This window comes from Homo sapiens, chromosome 15, assembly GCF_000001405.40.
Source record: "Homo sapiens chromosome 15, GRCh38.p14 Primary Assembly".
Classification (NCBI taxonomy): Eukaryota; Metazoa; Chordata; class Mammalia; order Primates; family Hominidae; genus Homo; species Homo sapiens.
Window position 1 is genome coordinate 98,911,719 of NC_000015.10, and position 25,097 is coordinate 98,936,815.

Below are 25,097 nucleotides of genomic sequence, written 5' to 3' on the forward strand. Positions count from 1 at the left end.
ATGGGGAAAGCTTGCTTTTTCCAGAATTAGGTCAGTCCAGACTCATGAACGATGATGGGGGACTTCACTGAAATATCGTTTCAGCCTCCTTACCTACTAGGCCTACTCCAGGAACACCCTGCAGGCACGTGGCTCTTTTGTATCATCTTATTCCTGTCTCTCTCTCTGTGTGCCTCTCCCAAGCTGTGGCCCTCTGCTCTAGGTCATGAGCCTTCCAAACAAGCGAAGAAAAGTGGAGAGAGAACAACCTTCATGTCTTGAGCCTTTTGTGACTTCTCCTAGACTCTGTTGGGAGCTTTTCCTGTGTGATCACATGACATTCCCCCATCTAAGCAGCCGAGGCTTATTCCTCCCGACTGCAGCCCTCTTTGATCTCCCTCTTCCTTCCTTTGCCTTCTATATCCAGGTGGCTACCCCGGTCTACTTAGCCATCCCCCTTACCCAGGTCCCATGTTAATCCCATAGTTCTCTCTCCCAGATGTGTGGCTTCCAAAGAGCAGCAACCAGAGGCACCTTATGACAGCATCTTGTACTCTTTCCTCCTGCCAGAGCTGGGGTCCTATGAATGAGAAATTGGGTACTTAGGATTACTAGGCTTTCAGAGTTTGTACACAGGGGAGCCCCTCATGATCTCCCATCCCATGACAGCAGACGGTGTTTTGTTCATGTTTGTTTCAGAAGCCAGCGGCCAGCAGCTGTCCAGCCCTTTTAGCTGATAAATATAAAATACCTACCCAACCATGCATCTGTGCGAAGTACTATATTCTCTGATAGTCACACCAGTGCTTTGGCAATGTCAGCTGGTAATTTCACTGAGGACTTGATGCTGGTTTCTAAGGCAATCTGGAAACTAAATATTTGAATATTATAAGATGCTTAAGCATCAGAATTGTTTATGAGCAATCTGAATTTTAGAAGCTACTTCTGTTTGTCTGTAGGAAAGTCATTTTTCTCCAACAGTTACCTTCTTTCAATATCTGATATTTGCATTAACTGACTATGCTTGTTTTTTTCTTGATGAAAAAATGCTGCAATCAGAAGAGAGAAAAATAGTTTTTGCATATGTTCTTAAGGAATAGTAACTATTGAATCCCAGTAACTGTTGAAGTGGCTCTTCCTGAGGCAGACCATTCAATTCTGTAATGCCCGACTGGGGAAGCCCAGAGTCCAGTCACTTCATTTCTTCTTCTATAAAAGTCTAATTGATTATTTGTTTATTTAGACCTCCCATTATAGAAAGTGTGACATGCTGGGCCTCTGGGGAAGATTTTTGAGGGTTTTGATGTCAGAGCCCCGAACTTTCTCTGAACTTAATTGTCTTTCAGACCCTTTAAGAATGTCACAGAGTATGATGGGCAGGATGCCTGCGGCTCCAACAGCTGGAACATGGTGGACGTGGACCTCCCGCCCAACAAGGACGTGGAGCCCGGCATCTTACTACATGGGCTGAAGCCCTGGACTCAGTACGCCGTTTACGTCAAGGCTGTGACCCTCACCATGGTGGAGAACGACCATATCCGTGGGGCCAAGAGTGAGATCTTGTACATTCGCACCAATGCTTCAGGTATCCATGCCTAGACAAGCCCCCAGCATCCACACTTCTTCGCAAGCTCACTGGCCTTGCTTGTACCAGGTGTCATTGTAGGGTTAGCAGTGAGCTATGCCTGTTGTCTTTCTTGTCAATAGGTAATACTGTGTCATATTCATTTCCCCACTGCTAACACATTAGGCTCTTCTGTGCCATTTTCTGGCCTCGGTACTATCTTCCATCATCTCCTGCTTTGTGCCTGTGAGCCCAGGTCCTCCAGGGTGCTGGGCTGGTTTCATTGGAAGGCCCAGCCTGGAAACAGCCGTCTTCAGCTGCCCTTGTTTCTTGTTTGTTTTGATGTTCAATCCTCCAGGAACTGAAACCATGCTGATCTGTGTTCCACTTAATTCATGTAGCTCACTGGTTTTCCATCTTCATTCTGGAGCTTATAGAGTTCCAAAGAGGTCAACAAAAGTTGAAAGCCTGCAGATGTAGTATGTTGTGGATATTCAGAGTATTCACTGATGATGAGGTTCCTCCTTCCTTTATCTTTAGGTTCTAAACCATCTCATTTCTCAACTCCAGATCTGGAAACAGTAAAAGCAAACGTTAATAGTTTCCAGTATATAAAAACTAGTTTAGAAGTAGGAAAATCCACTTCAGTTTTAAAGACACTGATTGTTTTAGTGTATTGGAGCTTCTATCACAAAAAAACAGTGTAGCCTGGGTGGCTTATAAGCAATAGAAATGTATTTCTCACAGTTCCAGAAGCCACAAAGTGCAAGATCAAGGCGCTGGCAGATTTGGTGTCTGGTGAGGGCCCACTCCCTGGCTCATAGATGGCTGTCTTTTCATTGTGTCCTTGCATGGTGGCAGGGATGCGGGAGCACTCTCCGGGGCCTCTCATAGAAGGGCCTGGATTCCATTCATGAGGGCTTCACTCCCATGACCCAATCACCTCCCAAAGGCCATGCCTCCTAATTCCATCCCCTTAGGGGTTAGGATTTTGACATGTGAGTTTTGGTAGGGGACACAGGCATTCACTCTATAGCACTGATAAACATTCTTTGATAATAGCCATTATTTTAGTGGGTAAGGTGTTTTTAAATACCCATAAGCGAGCACAAAATCAGTTTAAATGGCAGAGAGGAGGGTGAGAAGAAAATGCTGGTGGGGAAAACCTTTTGCTGTGCACGCCTGCTCCTTCCTCCACTCCTACCCCATCTCCATGACCCTGTAAGTGGCCACAGTCATGTCACTGGGTAAAGTGCTTATTGAAACAAAATTGGCACAGGCTTCTGATCCTGCGTGTGGGTTGGTGTAGCAGAGGTTCAGTGCAACAGAAGAAGTTTTTCATCTTAAAATTTGGAAGTAACCCCTGGCCAGCAATTCACTGTAGTGTTTGGGAAACATAGGAATATCTGCTTATTGTGACAGATTCTCAAGAAACCTGTTTCCTTTCCACAAAGATGGAAACCAGGCACTGTACCAATGAGTCAGTTCACTACGTTTTGTCCTCTGTCCTTACACGCAGCGGAGACAGACGAGAACTTGGTCCTCTGCCTCTGCTGTTTGGTGACACCTATCGTAAGAATGTATCTAGGAATGAGCTGTTTGTTTTTGAAGTACTTATTTTTGGAAACCCTAAAGTGGCTGAGCATCAAGTGGTTGTGTTTTCTCTGAAAACGCCAGTATTAGTCATAACCTTTTTCCAAAGTATCATCCCTTAAAGATGTTCAGAACCTTGTGTGTATCGTATAACCTGGAGCACCCTCAAGCTGTCCGCCCTTTTCAAGTTTTAAAAATGGCTTAGGCAAACATATTGCTTAAGTGATATCCAGTGAAGGTGTCTCCTGTGCTTTGAAAAACCATCAACATTGATGCTTTTTTGTGACCCAATAAGGACAAGATTTCAGTGGTTCTGGGATGCATTTGATCTTTATGCACACTTCAGCTCTGGGTTTCAGTTCAGGGGTCAGCATAAGTAAAGCTTGATCAGATAACTATGCTTTGCCTATAATCGGCATTCATTCTGCTGGTGACAGAGTCCTTTGCTCAAAATGAGGCTTCCATGCGTTTGCAGTTCTAAACTGCTTTTCAGAGTCATGCCTCAGTCATTGTACTGAAGGATGCCTGTGGAAATGGTGGACTTCCGTGTTCTTTGCATTGCCTCTCCCCCATCCCTCTTACACACAGCTGTGACATGGGCATGCACACTCCTTCACACACACAGACTCTCCAGGCCCCTTTCCACTTCCTCTTTCCATTTGGCTTCATGACATTTTTATCAGAGATTCAAAATCTCAGATGAAATCCAAGTCAGCCTGTTTTACCAGTTGTCGAAATTGCCGGAGTGCAGCACTGTGGAGAATGGCAGTTGTAATAAATGAGAAATACCAGGTGTTTGAATTAGCTGTAGATTTTCACATTGTCTCTTCTAACCCTGCTTGTGCCCCCGCAGCCTTTTTCCATTTACAACTCAGTAATGTTTGTTTTCACAGAGATTACCGGAGGAAATAGATTATAAAGGGAAATGTTGGCATTTATAGTAGTACTATTTCAAAATAAGGTTCACTTTTCACTTTGTATTTCATTGTTCATTGTTATTTTCTTATCCAGGTCAAACTGGCAGTTTCCTGTTGGCTTGCCAGAGTATCTGATAGCCTGACTCTTAAGTTCATTTCATTTTCTAGAATGTTCTTTGTTCCCCTCTCCAGTTCCTTCCATTCCCTTGGACGTTCTTTCAGCATCGAACTCCTCTTCTCAGTTAATCGTGAAGTGGAACCCTCCCTCTCTGCCCAACGGCAACCTGAGTTACTACATTGTGCGCTGGCAGCGGCAGCCTCAGGACGGCTACCTTTACCGGCACAATTACTGCTCCAAAGGTAAGGGTGCAGCAGCGGCCTGGACGGAGGGTGTGACCGTTCATTCCTGTGGTTGTAATGTGCCTGAGCCCTAATATTACACGTATCAGACAACAGTGTAGTTCTCCATTGGAAACCAGCTATCTTCTGGTTTTTTTTTTTTTTTTTTGAGACAGAGTCTCACTCTGTTGCCCAGGCTGGAGTGCAGTGGCACGATCATGGCTCACTGCAATTTCTGCCTCCCAGGTTCAAGCATTTCTCATTCCCCAGCATTCCGAGTAGCTGGGATTACAGGCATGCACCACCATGCCCAGCTAATTTTTGTATTTTTAGTAGAGACGGGGTTTCACCATGTTGCCCAGGCTGGTCTGAAACTCCTAACCTCAGGTGATTTGCCCGCCTCGGCCTCCCAAAGTGCTGGGATTATAGCCTTGAGCCACCACATCTGGCCGAGACCAGCTATCTTCTTGATTAAAGGTACTGAGAGCTATTATTTTTCCTTACAAGCATGTATAACGGCTTTCATTCCCACTCTTGTTTTGGCTTTTCTTTTCCGAGAAGACAAAATCCCCATCAGGAAGTATGCCGACGGCACCATCGACATTGAGGAGGTCACAGAGAACCCCAAGACTGAGGTGTGTGGTGGGGAGAAAGGGCCTTGCTGCGCCTGCCCCAAAACTGAAGCCGAGAAGCAGGCCGAGAAGGAGGAGGCTGAATACCGCAAAGTCTTTGAGAATTTCCTGCACAACTCCATCTTCGTGCCCAGGTACCCAGCTCATGTGAAATTTCAGTTGGCAAAACCCACTGCTCAGGCCGGTTCTGTTGCCTTTCTCCCCACCAGGTAGTGTGTAAGTCAGCAGCTGGGGGGTACAATACAGTAGCCACTGAGACGGAGCCGAAAAAGATGACAGGTTCGGTGAAGTGAGTCCCTGCGGAAGCCAGTCAGCCCTGAAGGGAACAGGGACCAGGGCTTGGGTTGCTGGGGCCACCGGTGTGACAGGTACTGCTGTCTCAGCCACAACCCCCCACAGAGAGCAGGTGGGCACCCTGTGGTAGAGGCAGGGAGGGGAAACTCAAAGAGTATTGACAGCTGCTGCCTGGTGAGAGGAAAGGCCAGGATTTGGGTCCATCTCTGCCCTTCCTAATTATCTTTACTGCCTCTCTCAGCCTCACAGAGGAGGAGTGAAGCAAGAGGGAAAAAAGTCAGAGTCTGTGCTGGAAAGGGCCTGACTTCAAAACATAGCCAGGTGCCACAGGCATCCTGTACAAGTAAGTTTGGGAAGCAGTGTAGGGCGACAGCCTGCATTGGCTGTTTATTCCGTGGTTACTCTGTCTTTCAAAGCAACACAGCCCCTGCCCCAGGGACTCTGCTCCTCTGCTGTGGTCTTGGTTTCTGGGGAGTGGGGACAAAAGCAGAGGAAAGTAAACGTTCATAGCAGGACTGTTCATAGTAGCCAAATCTGGAAACCCAGTGTACATCAACAGGTGAGTGGCTCAATAAAATGGGCTCGAACCTTACAGTAGAATATTATTCAGCCATAAAAAGGGAGGAAATTTTGATCCATGTCACAACACAGATGAACCTTGAAGACACCATGCCAAGTGAAACAAGGCCAGACACAAAAGGACAGATAGTGTATGATTTTATGTTGTGTGAAATATATGGAATGGGCAAATGTATGGTGACAGAAAGTAGATTTGAATTTACCAGGGGATGGGGATAGAGTGTGGAGGGGAATGGGAATTATTCCATAATCGATAGGTTTTCTATTTGGAGTGATGAAAATTTTTGGAAATAGATAATGATGATAGCTGTACCATTCTGTGAATGCAATTAATGCCACTGAATTGTACCCTTAAAATGATTAAAATGGCAACTTTTTATCTTACATATATTTTGTTTTGTTTTAAAATTTTATTTTAACACAATAAAAAATGTTAAACAATTTTTTTTTCCTTTCAAAAAAGGATTAGCCCAGTAGTGTGTGGGAAAGGAGATGGAAGCACAGTGGTGCTCCCTGGCCCCCTCTTCCTGTAAGATTATAGTGCAGATTTTGGAAACGACCTCATGCCTGAAAACTAGGCCAAGGAGTTGGATTTAAATCAGCATGGCACCCATGAGCTGCCCATCCGCAGTCCCCACAGCACCCGCTGCCAGCACCCCACCCAGCACGTTCCCTTCCCCTCACTGCCCCCGACCCTGAGAGGAGCCTGTAGCGGCTATTTATTCCACAGTGACTCTGCTCTTACAGGCTTTCTTAGGCTGTAACAACAAATGGTTTTTAAAGTGATTTTTTTTTTCTGCCAAGTGACCTTTTTGATATTTGCAAAATGGTTGAAATAGCTATCTCACTTCGAGAAATCAGTAAAGTGGGAAATAAAGACTGGTTAGAACTGGAGGCATTATTTCCTTTTGAGAGTGCGCCTCTTCATTGCTTGGTGGCTTTTTTCTCCTCCCCTCCTCTCTCGAAGTTCAAACCACCAGAGCAGCCAGGCGCGGTGGCTCACGCCTGTAATCCCAGCACTTTGGGAGGCTGAGGTGGGTGGATCACAAGATCAGGCGTTCGAGACCAGCCGGGCATCATGGTGAAACCCTGTCTCTACTAAAGATACAAAAAATTAGCCAAGCGTGGTGGTGCACACCTGTAATCCCAGCTACTTGGGAAGCTGAGGCAGGATAATCGCTTGAACCCGGGAGGTGGAGGTTGCAGTGAGCTGAGATCGCACCGTTGCACTCCAGCCTGGACAACAGAACGAGACTCCATCTCAAGAAAAAAAAAACACCAGAGCTGTGAGAAGGGCCTGCGAGGCCCTCATGGCCTCTCCTAGCCTGCCCCGCTGGGGGAGTCTTCTGCCTGCTGGTGTGTGGCAGGGCTTTGAATGTGAACCTTGAGGTTCAGTGCCCAAGGCCATTTTCTTATCCAGGATATCTTTGTATCACTGGTGGTTCCTAGAAAGCAGAAAGTTTGAGGACTAGAAAGATTGCAAAGAGGTTTGGAAACTGGAACTCAATGAGGTTTGGTGACTTCTCTGACATCCTAATTAATTAAGAATCCGTTTGGGACCTGGTCCTCATTCCCACACACCGACTCTTTTCCCCCTCTTCTCCTCCATTGCGTTGCTTCTCGTGGTCCTTTCCACCTAGACCAGCAGAGGCTTAGCTCGTGGCAGCTCCTGCTGCCCGCCACACGGAAGGATGGATTTAGAGTGTCCCAAAGCAGGCTGGGCGGGAAGTTTGTTTTTCTCTATCATGGGCCCTTGGTTACGTTGCTGTCTTGTTCCACCAACCAGCAGGAGGTTCGGGTTGTGAGTCAAGGTTTTGGAAAGATTTTGCTGAAAGGCCCCTTGCTTTCAGTTGTAGTTACGAGGCAAGACCTGTTTTTTTCTCATCAGATGTGGAGCACAAGGTGAAGTGACGTGAAGGCAGAGCTGTGATTGACATGTTATTAATGCACAGCATTGGTGGTGTTGGGTTCAAAACAAGTTTCCTGTGTTCTACTGGAGAAGTGTGTTTATCTGTCCCCCGAGTCCTTCCTTTCTCTCTCCTAAGACAAGTCCAACTTGTGATTCTCTGTTTTCATGGATGTATATGAAGACAATATTTTGTCCGTGGTGAGAGGCCATAATTTTTAAGAAGTTAATATTTGTTTTTTTGCCTCCTACTGAGTTCTGGCAGAGTCCAGGTGAAGGAGTGTCCAGCAGAGAGAATGACTGAATCACAGAGGCTGGCTTTCTGTTTTACACGTGGATTGTCCGAAAATGGATTTGATTTCTTTCAGTTCATTCTGAGAACAATGTATTTGTGGGATAAAACCAGTTAAGTAAGATTTAGTTCCTTATAAATTGTCCAGAATATCCTGTATGTTTTGAAGTACAGTGGAAGCTAGAGTTTGTAAAACTTACTAGTTTCTGAAGTCAATATTCGCAGTAAATGCCTTTCTTTGACTACTGTCTTTATTTTGTAAATCACATAGTTTGGTTTAACTAGCTAAAATGTTGACAGATGTTGGAAAGTAAAAGGTTTTCCAATAGGGCTAGGTTGTATTATGGGATGGAGTGGGGAAAGTTGGCAGTAATGTTTGCTTTTGGGCGTACGATTTGGAAATGTAGTTGTTTACCAAAAAAAATGATGTATGGGCCATTGTGCTTCCCCTGTTCCTGCCTTCCAGATAATGTTCTGTGTCACCTCCCTCCCCTTGTCACTGCCTTGATGTCATCAGCATTGAGAGCTGTGCAGTCCCTAAAAGTGTGATGTTGATAAACAAGTAAACTACTGAGTATACTTCATGAAGTAATCCCAGTTAAATGGGGGTGGGCTGAGCCGGGAGAGGGGTTTTGACAGAATTATTTTGCGGTACATCAAACCTAAGCAACTTCTGACAGACACAAGTGTATGTTGTGTTGGTTTTGAAGGTAGGCAGGAAATTTGTTGATGATGTGTTGACAAAGATTTCCCTGACAGTAAATGTGGTTTCTTGTGTTTTTCCCTTCCGGGAAGCTTGGTTAGCTAGTTGGTTGGTTTGCAGAGTGTGAGGATTGTGGATGATCAGCCTCATGTCCTTACCCTTCCTCCCCCAGTATTGTGAAAGCAAATGTACACGCCCTGACCTTGTGGTTTTCTGCTTGTTGGAACGAGCATATCTGTGTTGGGCAGTTCATGCCTTCGGTAGGACCCCCGTGTGCCACTACACAAAGAAGGACCGTGTTTTCCTCAGGGGAATCCATGGGCTGAGAAGACTGGGGAGCCTCAGAGGCCCTTTCCCAAAGCCCTCTGCTCTCCCCTTCCAGGTTCTGACCTAAGGACCAGCCAGAAGCCTGCCGAGCGTCAGCCGAACCTGCAAGTGGCTTCTGGGCTGTTCCGTTCCCTGCGTGAGCTTTCCCTCTCTGCTGCTGCTGCCGCGCTCTCCCCTCCATGGCACTGATGAGCTTCCCACATTCTGGACTTTCTCATTTCCCTGGGCAGATAGAATTCATCCCATTTGCCCCCTGCCTTTTGCCTATTCCTAAGACCGGTGACCCCAGCCGAAGGCCTCAGCCCTGTTTTCTCACCATTCGTCCATGGCTGACCTGAGGGTTGCCCTTTCTCCATCTGGGTGCTCCTCTCGTATTCTGTTTGTTTTTGTTGGTTCCTGTAAACATTAGAATTCTGTTTTAAGGTTTCTAGGGGGAGCCACAAAGCCCATTTCTTCATATTTGACCAAAGCAGCAATTAGAGGGTCGCACCCTCATGCCTCATCTGCCCTTTTTGGTGAGAATGTCCTTTTTGTGATGACTTTATGCACTCCCTTTTGCTTTTCGGTTGTTCCAAGCCCCATTCAAATCCATGACGAGGACTCTGCTCTCTGATGGGCAGGACCTTGATGAGGCCACAGGTGCTCACTGCTGAGTGGGAGGAAGCCTGGGTGGGCTCCAGGGACCTGCAGAGTGTAGCAAGCACAGACGCTTGGGGTTGGGGGTGGGCTCGCAGCAGGAGCCCCCAAGAAGAGAGAGCCCTGGGGTCCGTGGAACTGCTTGCTGCTAGACTCCAGGCATCTTTATTTCCACAGTCAGAGCAAATCCAAGGAGCCACCACCACAGGCTTTCATATCCCTCTGCCCCAGGTCTCTGGGGCCTCTGCCACACACCTCACCTCTCCCCTCCTGCCCTAATAAATCTTAACCACAGCTGATAGGTTTGCCACCTTTAAGGCTTAACCATAAGGTCTGTGACCAGATGGCCTGAGTGTTCTGATGACACAGCCAGGACTGCCTGGCCAAGAGTGGCAGAGACACTATTTGCCTCTAGGTAAAATCGAAGAACCACTCTGAGAGCCGGGGGGTGGGGGTGAGAGTTTGTGTGCCCATTCTGACACTTGCAGAGTAGAGAAAGCAAGATAATGAGGAAGGACATCCCTGTGTTATTCATGAGTTCTTACCTAAGGGGGCTCAATAGCTCCTTCTATTCCACGGTTAAGATTCTTCTGTTACTCTTACTCAAGTCATAGAAAAGACAAAAGAGGTAAAAGTACTTAAAAGCCACATTTCTCTCCTCCTTGCAGACCTGAAAGGAAGCGGAGAGATGTCATGCAAGTGGCCAACACCACCATGTCCAGCCGAAGCAGGAACACCACGGCCGCAGACACCTACAACATCACCGACCCGGAAGAGCTGGAGACAGAGTACCCTTTCTTTGAGAGCAGAGTGGATAACAAGGAGAGAACTGTCATTTCTAACCTTCGGCCTTTCACATTGTACCGCATCGATATCCACAGCTGCAACCACGAGGCTGAGAAGCTGGGCTGCAGCGCCTCCAACTTCGTCTTTGCAAGGACTATGCCCGCAGGTATGGTATGATCCAGCTGGCCCCATTGCCACCTTCCTCACAACCTAGTGGAGAAGATGTGTTTTATGGACACAGGGTCTGACACCCAGGGCCATGACCCTTAGACCCAGGCCTGCCTGCTAAATAACGTGCAGTCATTGGCAGGTGGCGTGTAGACCAGCTGCCCAGGGAACAGAGCCCACGCTCTCCTAGTGACACCACTCCCAGCTTGGTCTCTCCATAGAACGTGCTGGGAGCAGGGAGCTGTCTGCAGGGTCCACCCTCCACCTGCTACTTGGTGCACATCGTGCATTCCTGCTGTCCTTTGCCCCCTCTTGCGCACAAATCGGGTTGCCCCCTCCTGAGCTCTCACATGTCCAGAGATGTCTCCAGTTAGTTGCCTTGATCCAGAGTAAACATTGCCCCTCAAGATCAACTCCTGGAGCAGCCTCTGGTCTTGCTTATTTAGTCTTTGGCTTTCCCTTGTTGTTAGACACTGCCTGTCACTCGGGCATTCATCCATCTTTGAAGGTGGGTGCCTTCAAAGACAGAACAAGAGCTGCCCTGTCCTTTAGTAGGCCTCAGGTGGTAGAAAGAGCACGGAGGTGACCAGAGTCTGGGGTGTGGGGTCCTCCTGGGTGCAGTTCTGGCACTGAAGTCCATTGTAGCGTGCCTTGAGGCAGTCGTCAGGCTCCCTGCCTCAGTTTCCTTAGCCCTCCTGGGAGAGACATAGCCAGCTAACCCCTCAAGTGCCTTTTCCGGCTGTAACTTTCCATGACCTTTGCTTATCACAACTTTGTTTACTGCTTCAAGAAGCAAAAGCAAGAAAGGAACCACTGCAAGGTCAGCCAGCCGCTGGAGGAGTTGGTGCCGGCAGGGAGGGCTTGCCCTGCTCTTAGCACCAGCCTCCTAGCAGCTTCCTCACAGGCCGGGCTCGGGGCCATCCTTCGTGCCTGCATAAAAATTGCAGTTGCCGCGTGTAGACGCGGGCCACGGAGGGTCCCTGTCACAGCCGGCAGGCCCCGTGTCCTGCTTCTGCTTACTCAGCATCTTTCCAGGGCTGCTTGTGTTTGATGGCTTCACAAAGCTTTCTTTTTTCAAGTGGTAGGCACAGGGTAGAAGAAAGTTACTTAGGTTGCCAAGATTTTCCTGCTGTGCTTGGCAGCAGGCTTTTTTTGTTGAGGGACTGGGGAGAAAGGAGGATCTTGTGGCATCTTGAGACGTGCAAGTTTTGTGGTTGGTGTATTCTGAACCCTCCGCTGTGTGAGCAGCCCGCTCAGGGGCAGTGTACGTGGCTGATCTCCACTGTCCTGCCCGCGTGGATGGGGGCGTTATTCTCAGTGTACGTGGCTGATCTCCACTGTCCTGCCCGTGTGGATGGGGGGGTTATTCTCAGGTCAGCCCAGTGTTGGCCTCCCTCCCTGGGAACCCAAATCCAACTTTGTCACCTGTTTAAATTGTACAGAAGGAGCAGATGACATTCCTGGGCCAGTGACCTGGGAGCCAAGGCCTGAAAACTCCATCTTTTTAAAGTGGCCGGAACCTGAGAATCCCAATGGATTGATTCTAATGTATGAAATAAAATACGGATCACAAGTTGAGGTAGGACTGGGGCAGTGGCCCGTGCCTGCATGTACTTCCATCCATTGACAGCATATGCTACCTGACTGCACAGGTTACCTCCTGGTTAGCATAGGACTTAAAACAATAAAATCCATGCCAAGTTGGTGAGGATTTGGGTCTTTCTACCCACTCTGTACTCTCCAAGGAGTACTGCATAGTGTGCAAAGAGCTAGGCTGCTTTTTGCCCTCAAGAAACGATTTCATTGTGTAAGATAACCTTGTGGCATAGGCCAGGTCAGTTCTAATAACTTTTAATCCTTCTGGAGTTCTTGGTTACAAAAATGTTTGGTTAAAGCTTTTGGGTGTGCTTAAAGCTACTTGAAGACGACCTTTTAAGATTTGATTTCTTTGTCTTTACTGACACTCAGGATCATTGTTAGGTGGGAGGTCAGATCAGGCAGCTGGAGTCCCCAGTGTGGTGAGTTTAGTTGGCAGGCCCCAGATTTCTCCTGCATTCATGGGAAATTGACATGTATGTTTTATTTCCCCAGGATCAGCGAGAATGTGTGTCCAGACAGGAATACAGGAAGTATGGAGGGGCCAAGCTAAACCGGCTAAACCCGGGGAACTACACAGCCCGGATTCAGGCCACATCTCTCTCTGGGAATGGGTCGTGGACAGATCCTGTGTTCTTCTATGTCCAGGCCAAAAGTAAGGCTTGTGGAGGGAGAAGAAACGTGGTAAAACTGAAAGCAGGGTGGTCCAGGATCAGGACAGCCCGAGTGTTCATGGCTGTCTTATTTTCTGTTAAAATGGAGTTGGCCAGCTTCCAGAAGGGTCATGCTAAGGTGCCGGCACATACCGGCACTGTGTGTGAAAGGTTGGGCAGGGCAGATGCCGAGCTTTGGGCTCCTACCTCATGTGGCAGGAAGGGAGAGGATCCGAGCCTCTCCTTTGAGGTTGTGTAACCACTGGAGAGCCAGAGGAGACAGTTGCTTTCAACCTGGCTTACATTCAAAGACTTTTTTTTTTTTTTAAACAAAAGACATTTTATAAAGCATTGAATTGACCATTCCACCTCCTACTTGGTCAGTAAAGCTAGATAGGGCTCGGATTCAGGGCTTGAAATCCTAAGGGGTGTAAGGAACTCCAGAGGTCATCTGGTTCAGCCTGCTACAGGGCAGGAATCTCCACGGTAGCATCGCAGACCCTCCACTGTCCTTTTAAAGTCCCCACATGCATTGGAAATGTACGGTGCTCACCCTTTGGTACAGAGACTGAGGAATGTGAGTTTATGCTCAAGTCATTAACAAGACAGAATTCTTAGGCTGTTCTGTGTGATGACTTCAGATTTTAAAACAAATTATAAGATGTATAAGCGCAACAAGGGCCACATACTTGTTGTTTGACCAACAAAACTTAGTATTTTGGTGAAATTAGTTCTGTGTTGAGTTTCTGTTATTTCTTATTTCAAACCCAGTTTTTAAGATTATTTCATGTTCATGGAATGGGATCAAATTTGGCATAACACATAAAATAGCAATGCAGCCTCACTTAGTGGTAACACTTTTGGGTCTAGTGGGCTGATCTTTCCTGGTGTCCACATTTCTGCTACTCACATCTGGAGTTACGTTAAAACATGCACTCCGCCGGGTGCAGTGGCTCACGCCTGTGATCCCAACACTTTGGGAGGCCAAGGTGGGTGGATCTCTTGAGGTCAGGAGTTTGAGACTAGCCTGGCCAACATGGGTGAAACCCCGTCTCTACTAAAAATAAAAAAATTAGTTGGGGGTGGTGGTACACGCCTGTAATCCCAGCTACTTGGGAGGTTGAGGCAAGAGAATCTCTTGAACCTGGGAGGCAGAGGTTGCAGTGAGCCAAGATATGTCACTGCACTCCAGCCTGGGTGACAGAGCAGAACTCCATCTCAAGAAAAAAGGAAAAAAAACAAAAAACAGCGCACTCAATAGGTCCAGCAATCTCACTTCTAGTATATTTCCAAAGGCAATGAAATAGGTATGTCAAACAGCTCTCTGCACTCCCATGTTCACTGCAGCACTATTCACAGTGGCCAAGACATGGAATCCACCTGATGTCCATCACTATGTATATGAATGGATAAAGAAAACCTGGTACATATACATTATAGAATACTATTCTACCATAAATTAGAAAAGAAAAATGTCGTTTGTGGCAACCTGGATGAACCTGGAGGACATGATGTTAAGTTAAATAAGCCAGACACAGAAAGAGAAATACCACATGATCTTTCTGATAATGCGGAATCTAAGAAGTTAAGCTCATGGAGAGTAGAATGGAGGTTACCAGGGGCTGAGGGTGAGGGAGCAGATTTGGGGAGATGTTAGTCAAAGGATACAAAATTTCAGTTAGATAGGAGGAATAAGTTCAATAGATATATTGTACATGATGACAGTAATAATGATGTATTCTTAAAAATTGCTGAGACAATAGATTTTAAGTGTTCTCACCACACACAAAAAAATGTGATGTAATACATATGTTAATTAGGCTCATTCAGCTGTTCTACAATGTATGCATATTTCAAAACAATATGTTGTACATGATAAATATACAATTTTTATTTGTATATTAAAATTAATTAATTTTAAAAAAGATCTCCAGTAGTCACCTGGTCAGCACCAGATATTCTAATCTGTTTGTGATATCTGAAAATCCTAATACAGACAGCAAAAGCAGGATGGGGTGAATAGAACTGCAAATCTTGAGCCAACATTTTATGTGCCTGGCACTGTTCCTGGGTTCAGGTTTTTAGGGGTAAATGGATGTTTAGGCAGATAATTTTGTCAATTAAAATAGTCTGAATTGTTCCATCTAGTCCAGTTAACCTAGTCTCACCAGTTAGTCTATGCCACCTTTGCAGCACCCAGAAGCTTCATAATATTCCTGCAGCCTTGTCCAGGGTAGTGGCTTGCTTGCTTTCTATCTTTCCCCAGCCTCCTTCCCTCCTCTTTTTCCTCCCCTCCATCTCCTAGAAACAGATCCTAGTTTGGGGGTCTGTGATCTGTGAAACAGCAACCTTGGCTTCTGGGGTTGAGTGAACTCAGCTTGTTTTGGTGACATGACATGTTCCTGTCTGGCTTTGCTGCTCCATTTTTAACCTTGTAAGTGCCAGGATGCCAGTGGGAAATCGGGAGTCCTTCTGATAGAATTTTTCCAGCAGATGTTATCACGTACTGCAGGGAAATTGGATCTGCGTGCTGGCCTTACTGTTGAGAAATTTTTCCTTATGTCAGACAAGACTCTGTCCTGCTACAGTTTAGTCTCATTTCCTCTTATTTAATCCTCAGAGGAGATGGAAGGTTTGGAAGCTTTCAGGCAACTGCCTTCCTTTTAGGAACTCCTTGTGTGCCTGAATACTATTAAATTACTCCTCAGACTTCTCTTTTCCAGATGAAATAATCTCAGGTCTTTTGGCCTTTTCTTGTAGCCCAATATCATACACCAGTTTCCTAGCCATTTAATCATTTTTGTTATTCTCTGGATGTGTTCCATTTTCTCCATGTCCCTGTTGAAATGTGAAACTCAAAAAGAACACAGTACAGCCTGACCAGTAGTATAAGTGATATAAACAGTGATATAAGGGCCTTGGGGGAAGAAAGAAAAATCTGCCAGCTTTCCGTTGGTAATGATCACCTCTGAGTGTTTTTAGGAATTGCAAAATGCTGGAGCCTGCATCCATTTTGAGAGCTACAATATCAATAAAAATATTTCTTTCTTCGATTAAAATACTTCTAATTTTAAAAATTAAAATAGCTGTAGTAGTCTTTAAAGAGTAACCATGATCACAGTTTTCCATGGCAAAATAATCATTGATAGGGGACTTACGATTAATGTTTACTTGATCCCCAGTGATTCCAGGCCCATTTCCACATAGACATCTGTATTTGGACGTCCCAGAGAGGTCTCAGATTCCTTGTGCCAAAACCAAAATCACAGTTGTTGCCCTCGAAAGGCCTCTTCTCTCCTTTGCTCCTTAGCTCAGTCAGTGGTCTTGTAATCCATTTGTTACCCAAGCCAGGAACCTCACAGCATCCTTCACTCTTCTTTCTGTTCAGCCACCCCTTTTTCATTCCAACCCAAGCCTCATGGATTCTGCCTCTTAAATGTCTCTGGAATCCAGCCCTCTGTCACCACCAGCACCGCCACAGCTCAGACTCCAGGTCACTCGCCTTGGGGGGATGGTATGAGCTGTCATACTGTATGAGCCTCATCCTGGGGCCATGACTTACCAAGCCAGATCATCTCTGTGAGTCTGCCTGGTGTAAAGACAAGGATCAGTGACTTCTTTGTAGGTCTGAACTGGGTAATGCAGAGCATGCCCTGGAGACATGGCATGTCCCCCCAATTCTCCAAGACATGACAGTGCCTTCTCTTACTGCCAGGTCCCTCCGTCTGTCCTCAGCACAGCCATTTCCCTGGAACGCGAATCTGATCAGTTCACTGCTGGGCCTGAAAGCTTTCGCTGACTCCTTTTAATCTGCAGAATGAGGGTGAAACTGCTTAGCTTGGGCTGGGTCCCTTGTGAGCTGGCCCTGACTTCTCTCCAGTATCATCATTTTCTAGGAAAGCCATTTCCCCACAACCCCCAAGGAAAGCATATCATAAACAAGTTTTCCCTTGGGGAGGTTCCCTCGACTCCCTTCTCTCCTCTCCCTTCCTCTCTGAATTGTTGCCATATGTGAAGTCCACTTTTCTAGTTGTCATGCTACCTGTTGACACTAATTTCCCATGTCCCACAGAATGTTCCAGGGTATGGGTCCATGTGCCTGGTGCCCAGCCTAGCATCTGCCATACAAGTGCTGGTTCTGATGATCAGTGGCTTCTGTGGTCTTAGACTTGTAGCAGGACTCAAATGTCTGCAGCGGCATTGGAAAGGGGTGCCGTCCAGTGTGTGCATGTGTGTGTGTGTTTATTTTAAATTGTCTGTGGAACTATCTCAAAGATTGAGGCCAGCAGGACTTGACCTATACATAGATGTAGACTGTACATAGATGTAAGAATTTCTATTCATTTTATGAAAATGAATAGAAATTTTCATTCTATTTATTAGAAATAGAATGCTTGCTGCTGCAAGCATTTGAGTCCTTTTACAGGTGTGAGATCACAAAGACCGCTTACCAACAGAACCAACACTTGTATGGCAGATGCTAGGCTGGGTACCGGGGACATGGACCAAACCCTGGAACATTCTGTGGAATGTGGGAAATTAGTGTCAAATGTATGCATTTTCACTAACAGTCATTAAACTGCGTACAAAGATTATTTTTCTTCAGTCTATCATTGAAACTATTGCACCAGAATATACTGTACTTTAAAAAATGAGTATATGCCTCAGTCTGCACATATTTACTCTTTTTTCAAATAATTGTTTGTTTGCCGTGTTCTATTTCTGACACCATTTACCTTCAGGAATTCTTACTGTATGATGGGGAGTAAACGAATATACAGGTATTTTTTTCATACTTCCAACTGAATGTGAAGAAATGAAATGAGCAAATTGTTCACCTGGTGATATTTTATCATTTCCTCCTCTTTGCTGCAGCAGGATATGAAAACTTCATCCATCTGATCATCGCTCTGCCCGTCGCTGTCCTGTTGATCGTGGGAGGGTTGGTGATTATGCTGTACGTCTTCCATAGAAAGAGGTCAGTGATGTGCAAAGTTATGACACTTTCTGTGGCTGAGTGGTTTGATGATTTGAATGTGAGTGAAGGTGATATTTTTGAAGATTTCAAGGAAATATTTTATGGACTGGAAAACCTGATTTTCCCATCAAATGTTCTTCCAGGAAAAGAGAACCTTTTCTAATGATTTTAACAACAGCCAAAATAATTTTTCGATGGTACAGACCTTCCCCTGGCTGGCTTTTCTGGTATACAGATACTGCTGCTGGTGCATACTTTTCCAAACGCGATGCGCTAGCCTTCCCAATCAAATAAGCCTTTTTATTTCCAATGAAGTAAAGAAACAGATGTTTCTTAAAAAGCGCTAATCTCAGGCTACTGAGGAAGCCAGAAGATGTGTTAGCAAATGTCTGCTGGCTCACCCAGGCCTGAATTGGGAGTGTAGACAAGAGCTGCTGTAGACAGTAAGCTCTCCCCATTCTGTTCTGATACCGTGTGAGAGAGGATAAATGAAACTGTTGTAGCGAAGATGAAAGTATATACAGGAATGTATGGAGGTGGGGTTTTGTTAACGTGAATTTAATCTTTTTGACAGAAATAACAGCAGGCTGGGGAATGGAGTGCTGTATGCCTCTGTGAACCCGGAGTACTTCAGCGCTGCTGATGGTAAGAGTCCGGGCCACCAGCACTGCCAGCGTGCAGGGCAGGTAGATCGGGAGCTTTCAGGAGGGTTGCTAATTTGGGAAAGGAAGGAGGTTTGCATTATTTTGAGCTACCTTTGGCCTTGGATCTGTCTTCATTAATATTTCTTTCTTTCTTTTTTTTTTTAATCAAAGTTTTTAGCAGTTCAGTGAATATGTCAAAACTTGTGGGACTGTATGGGGTGCCCCAAGGAAACACAGGCTTTAGAGATGAATGTGGCCAGCGCAGTAATCAATTTATTTAATTGCTTGAGATGTTATGCTAGAATGAAAACAGCTTTTTAATTGTTAACATCTAGTCAGAGGATATGCTGCAGCTGACAAAACAGTCCTTTTAAACTAGTTTCAGCTTGAGTATCATCTCATTATAATTGTCTTTGATGAATTACAGCTCTGCTTTTTTTTTTATCATGGAATTTTTCTGTCATTCCCTTCCGACTAGGGTCATACGCTCGTGGCTCATTCACATTCCCCTTGGTAATAACTAATGAGGGCCATTCAGTTAAGTGGCTGGGAAGGTCTGACATGGAAGTTGGGTGATCCTCAATGGTTATTTCCTTTTTTGCTCTTTCTAGCATTTTTATATCCAGACCTTTTGAGTGAGTCGGATTAGGGTGAGGGGTTGGTCACTGAGTCCAGTGATACTAGGACCCTTAACTGGCACTTTGCTAGGGGCTTTTACAAACACCATCCCATTTGTTTCTTAAACCCCTGCAATGTGCGTTTTCTTAATGCCCATCTGCAGGTGAGGAAATGAACTCTGGGAAAAAACTTGTGCAGGCTCACATGGTTAGACAGTTGAGAAGTCAGGAGGAGAATGGAATCACTGTGGAAAGGGCTGTGAGGTCCCCCGGGCAGGCAAGGAAACAGCCCTCAGGAGGGGCTGGACCGGATTCATCAAATGAATAATAAATAAGTGCATGATGTTGAGTGAGTACATTTAGAAAAAGTGTTTGCTGTCTTCTTGCCTCGGGAGAAGTGAAAGTAGATGCAGGAGATGTGAAATAAAGAGACATGATTATTCTAATTATTGTGATCAAATAAGAAAACATAAGAAAATACTTTAATAATGTGAAAACACCGTTATACTATGTAGGGTTTTACTATGGTTTCTTTAATAATTTCTAATTCAGTTTATAGTAAAGTCAATCAAAAGCAGCCTCCTCTGAATGGGAATCAGGTGCAGAATAATGACTTTATTTCTATCTACATAAAGGTCTCACAAAGTTGGTTTTTTAATAGTAATATATATATACATACTTCTGTAGTGTGTGTATATAAGGCAGAGAGAACATTCTGGACGGATGCACACCACACTTACAAGAGTTGTTACTTGTGGAGAGGATCTTTCCCTTTAAAAAAAAAAAAAAAAAAAAAGCCAGATGTGGTCGAAGGCACCTGTAGTCCCAGCTACTCGGGAGACTGAGGTGAAAGGATTACCTGAGCCCAAGAGCTGCAGTGAGCTAGAATCCCACCACTGCACTACAGCCTATAGAGCGAGACTGGCTCTTAAAATCCAGCAAGAAGATAGATATGCATTGTTTGTATGAATAATAGCTTCTAAAAAGAAAATCAGTAAGGAAGGGAGTCATCCCAGATGATGGAATTGATAGAACAAGGCAAGACCACTTTCTCCCTCTGTGAGGGTGGACTGTGACTCTACGAGAGAAGCTATTCTGCTTTGAAATGCGGCACTAGAGGTTGGTGTGTGTAGCTTTTGACTGTGAAGTGTCCAGGAAGAGAAAGCATCAATACAACAAATTCAGATTCTCAGGGCTCTCATGGTGACTTGAATTCACATTTTGTGTCCTTCTAGAATGCTTTCATGATACGTCTTGGTACTTCATTACAACAAAAACAAACTTATTGCCACCCAGGTCGACAGGTGGGAACAGTGTCACCTTATTTGAACTTAATTTATTCGGCCTTTGAGAAGCACTTATAGCCAGTTTCCTCGAGGGGCAACAAAATGACATTGCAGTTCAAAAGTGCTTTAAAAACTTCTTTTTCCCAAAGCTATAATCTGCATGTCACCATTCTCCAGAGTACATTGAAAATCCCCTACAGGAAAGTGCTGATAACATTGTGCACAGAAACCGCTCCTGGCTGGTGGCACTGGGGACGCCTGCTTAAAGTCGGAGCCGTTGGGTTGAATCGAGAGAAAAGGATTGAGCGTATTGACTTCAGGGACCTCCCAGGGAATGAATGTGATTGGTTTCAACTCCATGTTTTATGGCAGGCTAAACAGTTAATTCTGATTAAAAGCAAGCCTGGATTCTCAGAGATAAATGGCTGGAGACAGTGAACTCTTTACACTTTCTGAGGCGCATTGTGAAGAGCCTTATCTCCTGGGTTGTCTTGCATACTTACTCTCCTCTGACAAGCACCCGCCTCTTCTTCAGGGGTGCAAGCCACCTATGCCAGCTGGAGGGCAGAGTTCCATTCGTGAAACCCTTGAAACATACGTACTATGAAATACAAAAATGTGTAGGAAAGAAAACAAGATTATTAATGAAGTTCATATTGGACACCCCTCAGAGGTCTAAAATGATGGTGCCCCTCCTGGGCCTAATTTATAATAAACATCTCTCCTTTGAGACATCACTTAAAGGTTGATAGTTGGGATATGGAGATGTTAGGATACAGTTGTCAGCCTCTCACATCCAGCCACAGGCCCAGGGTCAGCATCTGAAAGCATGAAAGCAAAAACAGGCACCTTCTCCACCTCCTTTCTGAGCCAGGACCACCTCCTTCCCACAGTCAGTGTGTGGTAGAGCCTGGTGGCAGGTCCCGTCAGGCAAGGACATTAGCACACAGCGTCAGAGGAATTACTGACATTTCATATGGATCTTATGGAACAGGTTGATTTTATTTTCGTTTTTACCCTACCCATTTGGAGGTGTAGAATTGAGCCTGTGTTTGGTTTTGTTTTCTTTCTTTCCAACCTTTTTCCTTTCTTTCTCTTTGTTTTGCCTTCCTTCCTGCATAGAAATATTTATTTATTCATTCATTCATTTTTTTGAGACAGGTTCTCACTCTGTTGCCCAGGCTGGAGTGCAGTGGTGCAGTCTCAGCTCCCAGTAGCCTCAACCTCCTGGGCTCAGGCGATTCTCCTGCCTCAGCCCCCTGAGTAGCTGGGATTCCAGGTGTGTGCCATCACACCTGGCTAATTTTTTAATAGAGACAGTGTTTTGCCATGTTGCCCAGGCTGGTCTCAAATTCCTGGGCTCAAGCGATCCTCCCAACTTGGCCTACGATTACAGGCATGAGCCACCGCACACGGCCCATTTATTTTCTTAAACCAGATCGAATCTAAACAGAAACAGAAACTGGAGAAGAAATCCTATTCAGGCTTGGTATCTACTGTGCATTCCTCCCAAATCTCTACCCATTGGTCAAGGTCCCTGAGTTCACAGAGCCCAGGCCAGAGCCCTGGAAACGCCTCTGCCCGTCCGCTGCCTAATTGCCTGTCCACGCTGGGCACCACCGGGTCTCTCCCTCAGTCTCAGAGCTCAGTTGCTTCTGCACCTCATCAGGGATCCAGCCATCAAAGCCAAGGCTGGGGGACACTTGGACTAGAGTAATCCTACCAATAATGCAGTTCAGCTTTGTAACCGCAAATTTTCTAGTAGCCGTATTTTTTAAAAGTAAAAAGAAACAGATCAAATGCATTTTAATAGTTTTTTAGTTCCAATAATACGTTTCGTGTAACCCAGTATATCCAAAATATCCATTTTAACATGGAGTCAGTATTAAAGTTACCTAAATATTTCACTTTTTTTTTTTTTTTTGTCTAATCTTTGAAATCCCATGTGCATGTCTCAAATTGGACTGGCCACATGGAATGCTCAGGAGTCCCATGTAGGGACCAGCTGCCATGTTAGATAGCCCAGGCATAGCATCTGTGTTGAGGGCCCTGACACCTCTTTTGGATTCATCCAAGAAGTAGGACCTTACGTGCACCATCATCACCTCTCATATGTGACTCTGGCCTTTTTCCCGACCCAGCATAAGAACTCTTCCCTCTCCCTACTACTCTCCTCCTTTTTACATTTGCGTTTTAATCTGTTGGTGAAGATGGGTAAAATCCTGCTTGACCATTTCATTCAGTTTCTCAATCCCCTGTGGTTAATTTGTTTTTTTCAAAAATGTGTTTTTATGTGATGAAAAGAAATTTTTAAAAACCAACTGCTTTCTTTCCTATACTAGACTTCCTTGCTTTGTTCTGGTCCTTCTATCTGTTAGTATCCTCAAATTATCTTGAAATCCTCAGAGATCTGAAATACTAGTACTGACTGTACAGTTTTCTTACTCAAATCTATAGCATGTGGAAAGTTGACATCAAGCCATGCCATCGCCTCCTGGTATTCTCTGTGGGTTTAAGGAAGCAGCATCTTATATTCTTTGGCTTAGAGTTCCCCCAAAGCACGTTCTGTCTAAGGGCTTGTTTCTGTACCTGCTTTAATTACGGTTTCTTCTCCAGTGTACGTTCCTGATGAGTGGGAGGTGGCTCGGGAGAAGATCACCATGAGCCGGGAACTTGGGCAGGGGTCGTTTGGGATGGTCTATGAAGGAGTTGCCAAGGGTGTGGTGAAAGATGAACCTGAAACCAGAGTGGCCATTAAAACAGTGAACGAGGCCGCAAGCATGCGTGAGAGGATTGAGTTTCTCAACGAAGCTTCTGTGATGAAGGAGTTCAATTGTCACCATGTGGTAAGAGAAAGTTCCTGAAAAGCCAAAATGCAGCACAGGGAGAGGGTATCACACAAGCCTCCCAGTATGTTCTTGGCTGCATGTACCCGTGGGTTTGGTGTCTTGCCTTTGCCTTCTGGATAGTTACCCCATTACCTCACTGCTACCTTCAGACCCCTGTGCTCAGACCAGGCCGCAGCACCACAGAGACAGTTCCAGACAACACAGGCATCAGCAAGGGCCACCTGACCCTCTGAGTCTTTCTCTTTTTGATTCCTCCCAGGTGCGATTGCTGGGTGTGGTGTCCCAAGGCCAGCCAACACTGGTCATCATGGAACTGATGACACGGGGCGATCTCAAAAGTTATCTCCGGTCTCTGAGGCCAGAAATGGAGGTCAGTTTTCATTTCCACCGGTATTGCATGTTGCCTGGCCTGCTCTCTTTTCCTTTATAATCTCCCTGCAAGGAAATGCTGTGTCTTTAAATCAGTTTACTTTCCAGCATCCAGTGTTTCTTACTGCATGCTCAGTTGTAGGTCATTTATGCAAAGGATTTCCCCAACTAGAGTCAGACTCTGATCTTCGTGAGGGGAACTTCCTGTTCCTTGGATCCCCTCTGCTAAGCCCCTCTGTGCCTTTGTTCCTGCATTCCCTCCACCCCCAGTCCCCTCCCCACATCAGTGTCCACCTGCCAAGCCAGGCCAGCGCCACTCCCTCCCCGAAGCTTTCCTGCCCCACTCCAGTAGCTATCTTCTCTGCTAACTTCTCGATGCGCTTGACTCACATCCTCGTATGTGTTCTCTCTCGTTATGTTGTGTTGTGCTGTTGTTGGAGTGTGTCCCCCCTCCACCCCGTTGTGTTTAGCTTTTCATCTCAGTCCAAGTGTGTGGCTCAGGGCCGCATTTGTGGCAGGCACTCTGTCAATAAATGTATGTTACAGTTCAAGGTTAAGCTGCCTGGATTCTTGCCCTTGCATCTGGGAAGTTGCTGGGTGATTTCCCACCCAGCTCCGTGCGCAAGATGTGCACTCATTCATAAACCCCCTCCCCACACACAGTCCCCTTCCCCGGCATTGTTGGCGGTCCTTGTCTTTGCCACTGGGAATCTGGTTTCCTCAGACTCTACGTCCACGTTTCAGGATTGATCCAGAGTCAGTGTCCTGCTTACGCTTTTGAATGAATGATCCCACCTCAGCTGCAGGATTTCTGCTTAGTTTCCTAAAAATTTCACTTTGGGTTATGAGCTTCCAATTCTAAACCTGCTAAAGTCCTATGCAATTTTTCATTAAAAGTCACCGTGGTGTCTCCCCCCTCTGTAGTATTAACCCACAGGCCAGCTTTTTAACATATGCGGGCATGACTTTTGAGTAATTAATTCTACAAATAAACTGGGAGATAAATGCTGAGACATAAAGCCAGCAAGAACTGAGTTTTCATTTGGTTGCCTCCGTGGGTCTGAAGTCTTTGACCCTTACTTTGCTGCTTACTGGGTAAGCAGTGTGTCTGCTTTTATTCCTTAGAAGCAGTGACTTCCCCTTCTCGGCCCCTTTGGAAATTCTTTTGCTGTTCTTCATTTGGGCTTAATTTTTTTTTTTTTTTAATGTTCTTTGAATCGGCAACTTAATCATCTCCCAAGTGACAGTTTCTTAATTTTAGTTCCAAACACCTGTTCACATATGACTTCATGTATTTGCAGCACATGGTGTTTGGGGCCAAGTGTGGACTGGGGCTTCAAGCAGGATGGTTTACAAAACTCCCACCCTCTGTTCTGCCAAGCATTGGTCC

General features: G+C 45.6%; 1 protein-coding gene across 9 annotated transcripts in view, besides 1 other annotated feature; it reads left to right on the forward strand.

Annotated features, from left to right (window-relative positions):
• IGF1R (insulin like growth factor 1 receptor) overlaps window positions 1–25,097 on the forward strand; it is a 315,992-nt gene that overhangs the window by 263,180 nt on the left and 27,715 nt on the right. For 6 of the 9 annotated variants that reach the window (NM_000875.5, XM_047432443.1, XM_047432445.1 and 3 more), the window contains 10 exons: window positions 1,326–1,564; window positions 4,246–4,413; window positions 4,954–5,158; window positions 10,430–10,713; window positions 12,158–12,294; window positions 12,807–12,966; window positions 17,840–17,942; window positions 18,517–18,587; window positions 23,106–23,335; window positions 23,598–23,708. In NM_000875.5, coding sequence (NP_000866.1) covers window positions 1,326–1,564; window positions 4,246–4,413; window positions 4,954–5,158; window positions 10,430–10,713; window positions 12,158–12,294; window positions 12,807–12,966; window positions 17,840–17,942; window positions 18,517–18,587; window positions 23,106–23,335; window positions 23,598–23,708 — 1,708 coding nt within the window. The remainder of the gene's footprint in view (window positions 1–1,325; window positions 1,565–4,245; window positions 4,414–4,953; window positions 5,159–10,429; window positions 10,714–12,157; window positions 12,295–12,806; window positions 12,967–17,839; window positions 17,943–18,516; window positions 18,588–23,105; window positions 23,336–23,597; window positions 23,709–25,097) is intronic. The other 3 variants (NM_001291858.2, XM_047432444.1, XM_047432442.1) reach the window with 1 other exon arrangement.
• Window positions 3,598–3,667: an enhancer, noted in NCBI's record as "active region_10142". NCBI's record gives its function as "activates an Ori minimal core promoter by ATAC-STARR-seq in GM12878 lymphoblastoid cells {active_cell/tissue: GM12878}" and the evidence as "EXISTENCE:reporter gene assay evidence [ECO:0000049][PMID:35858748]".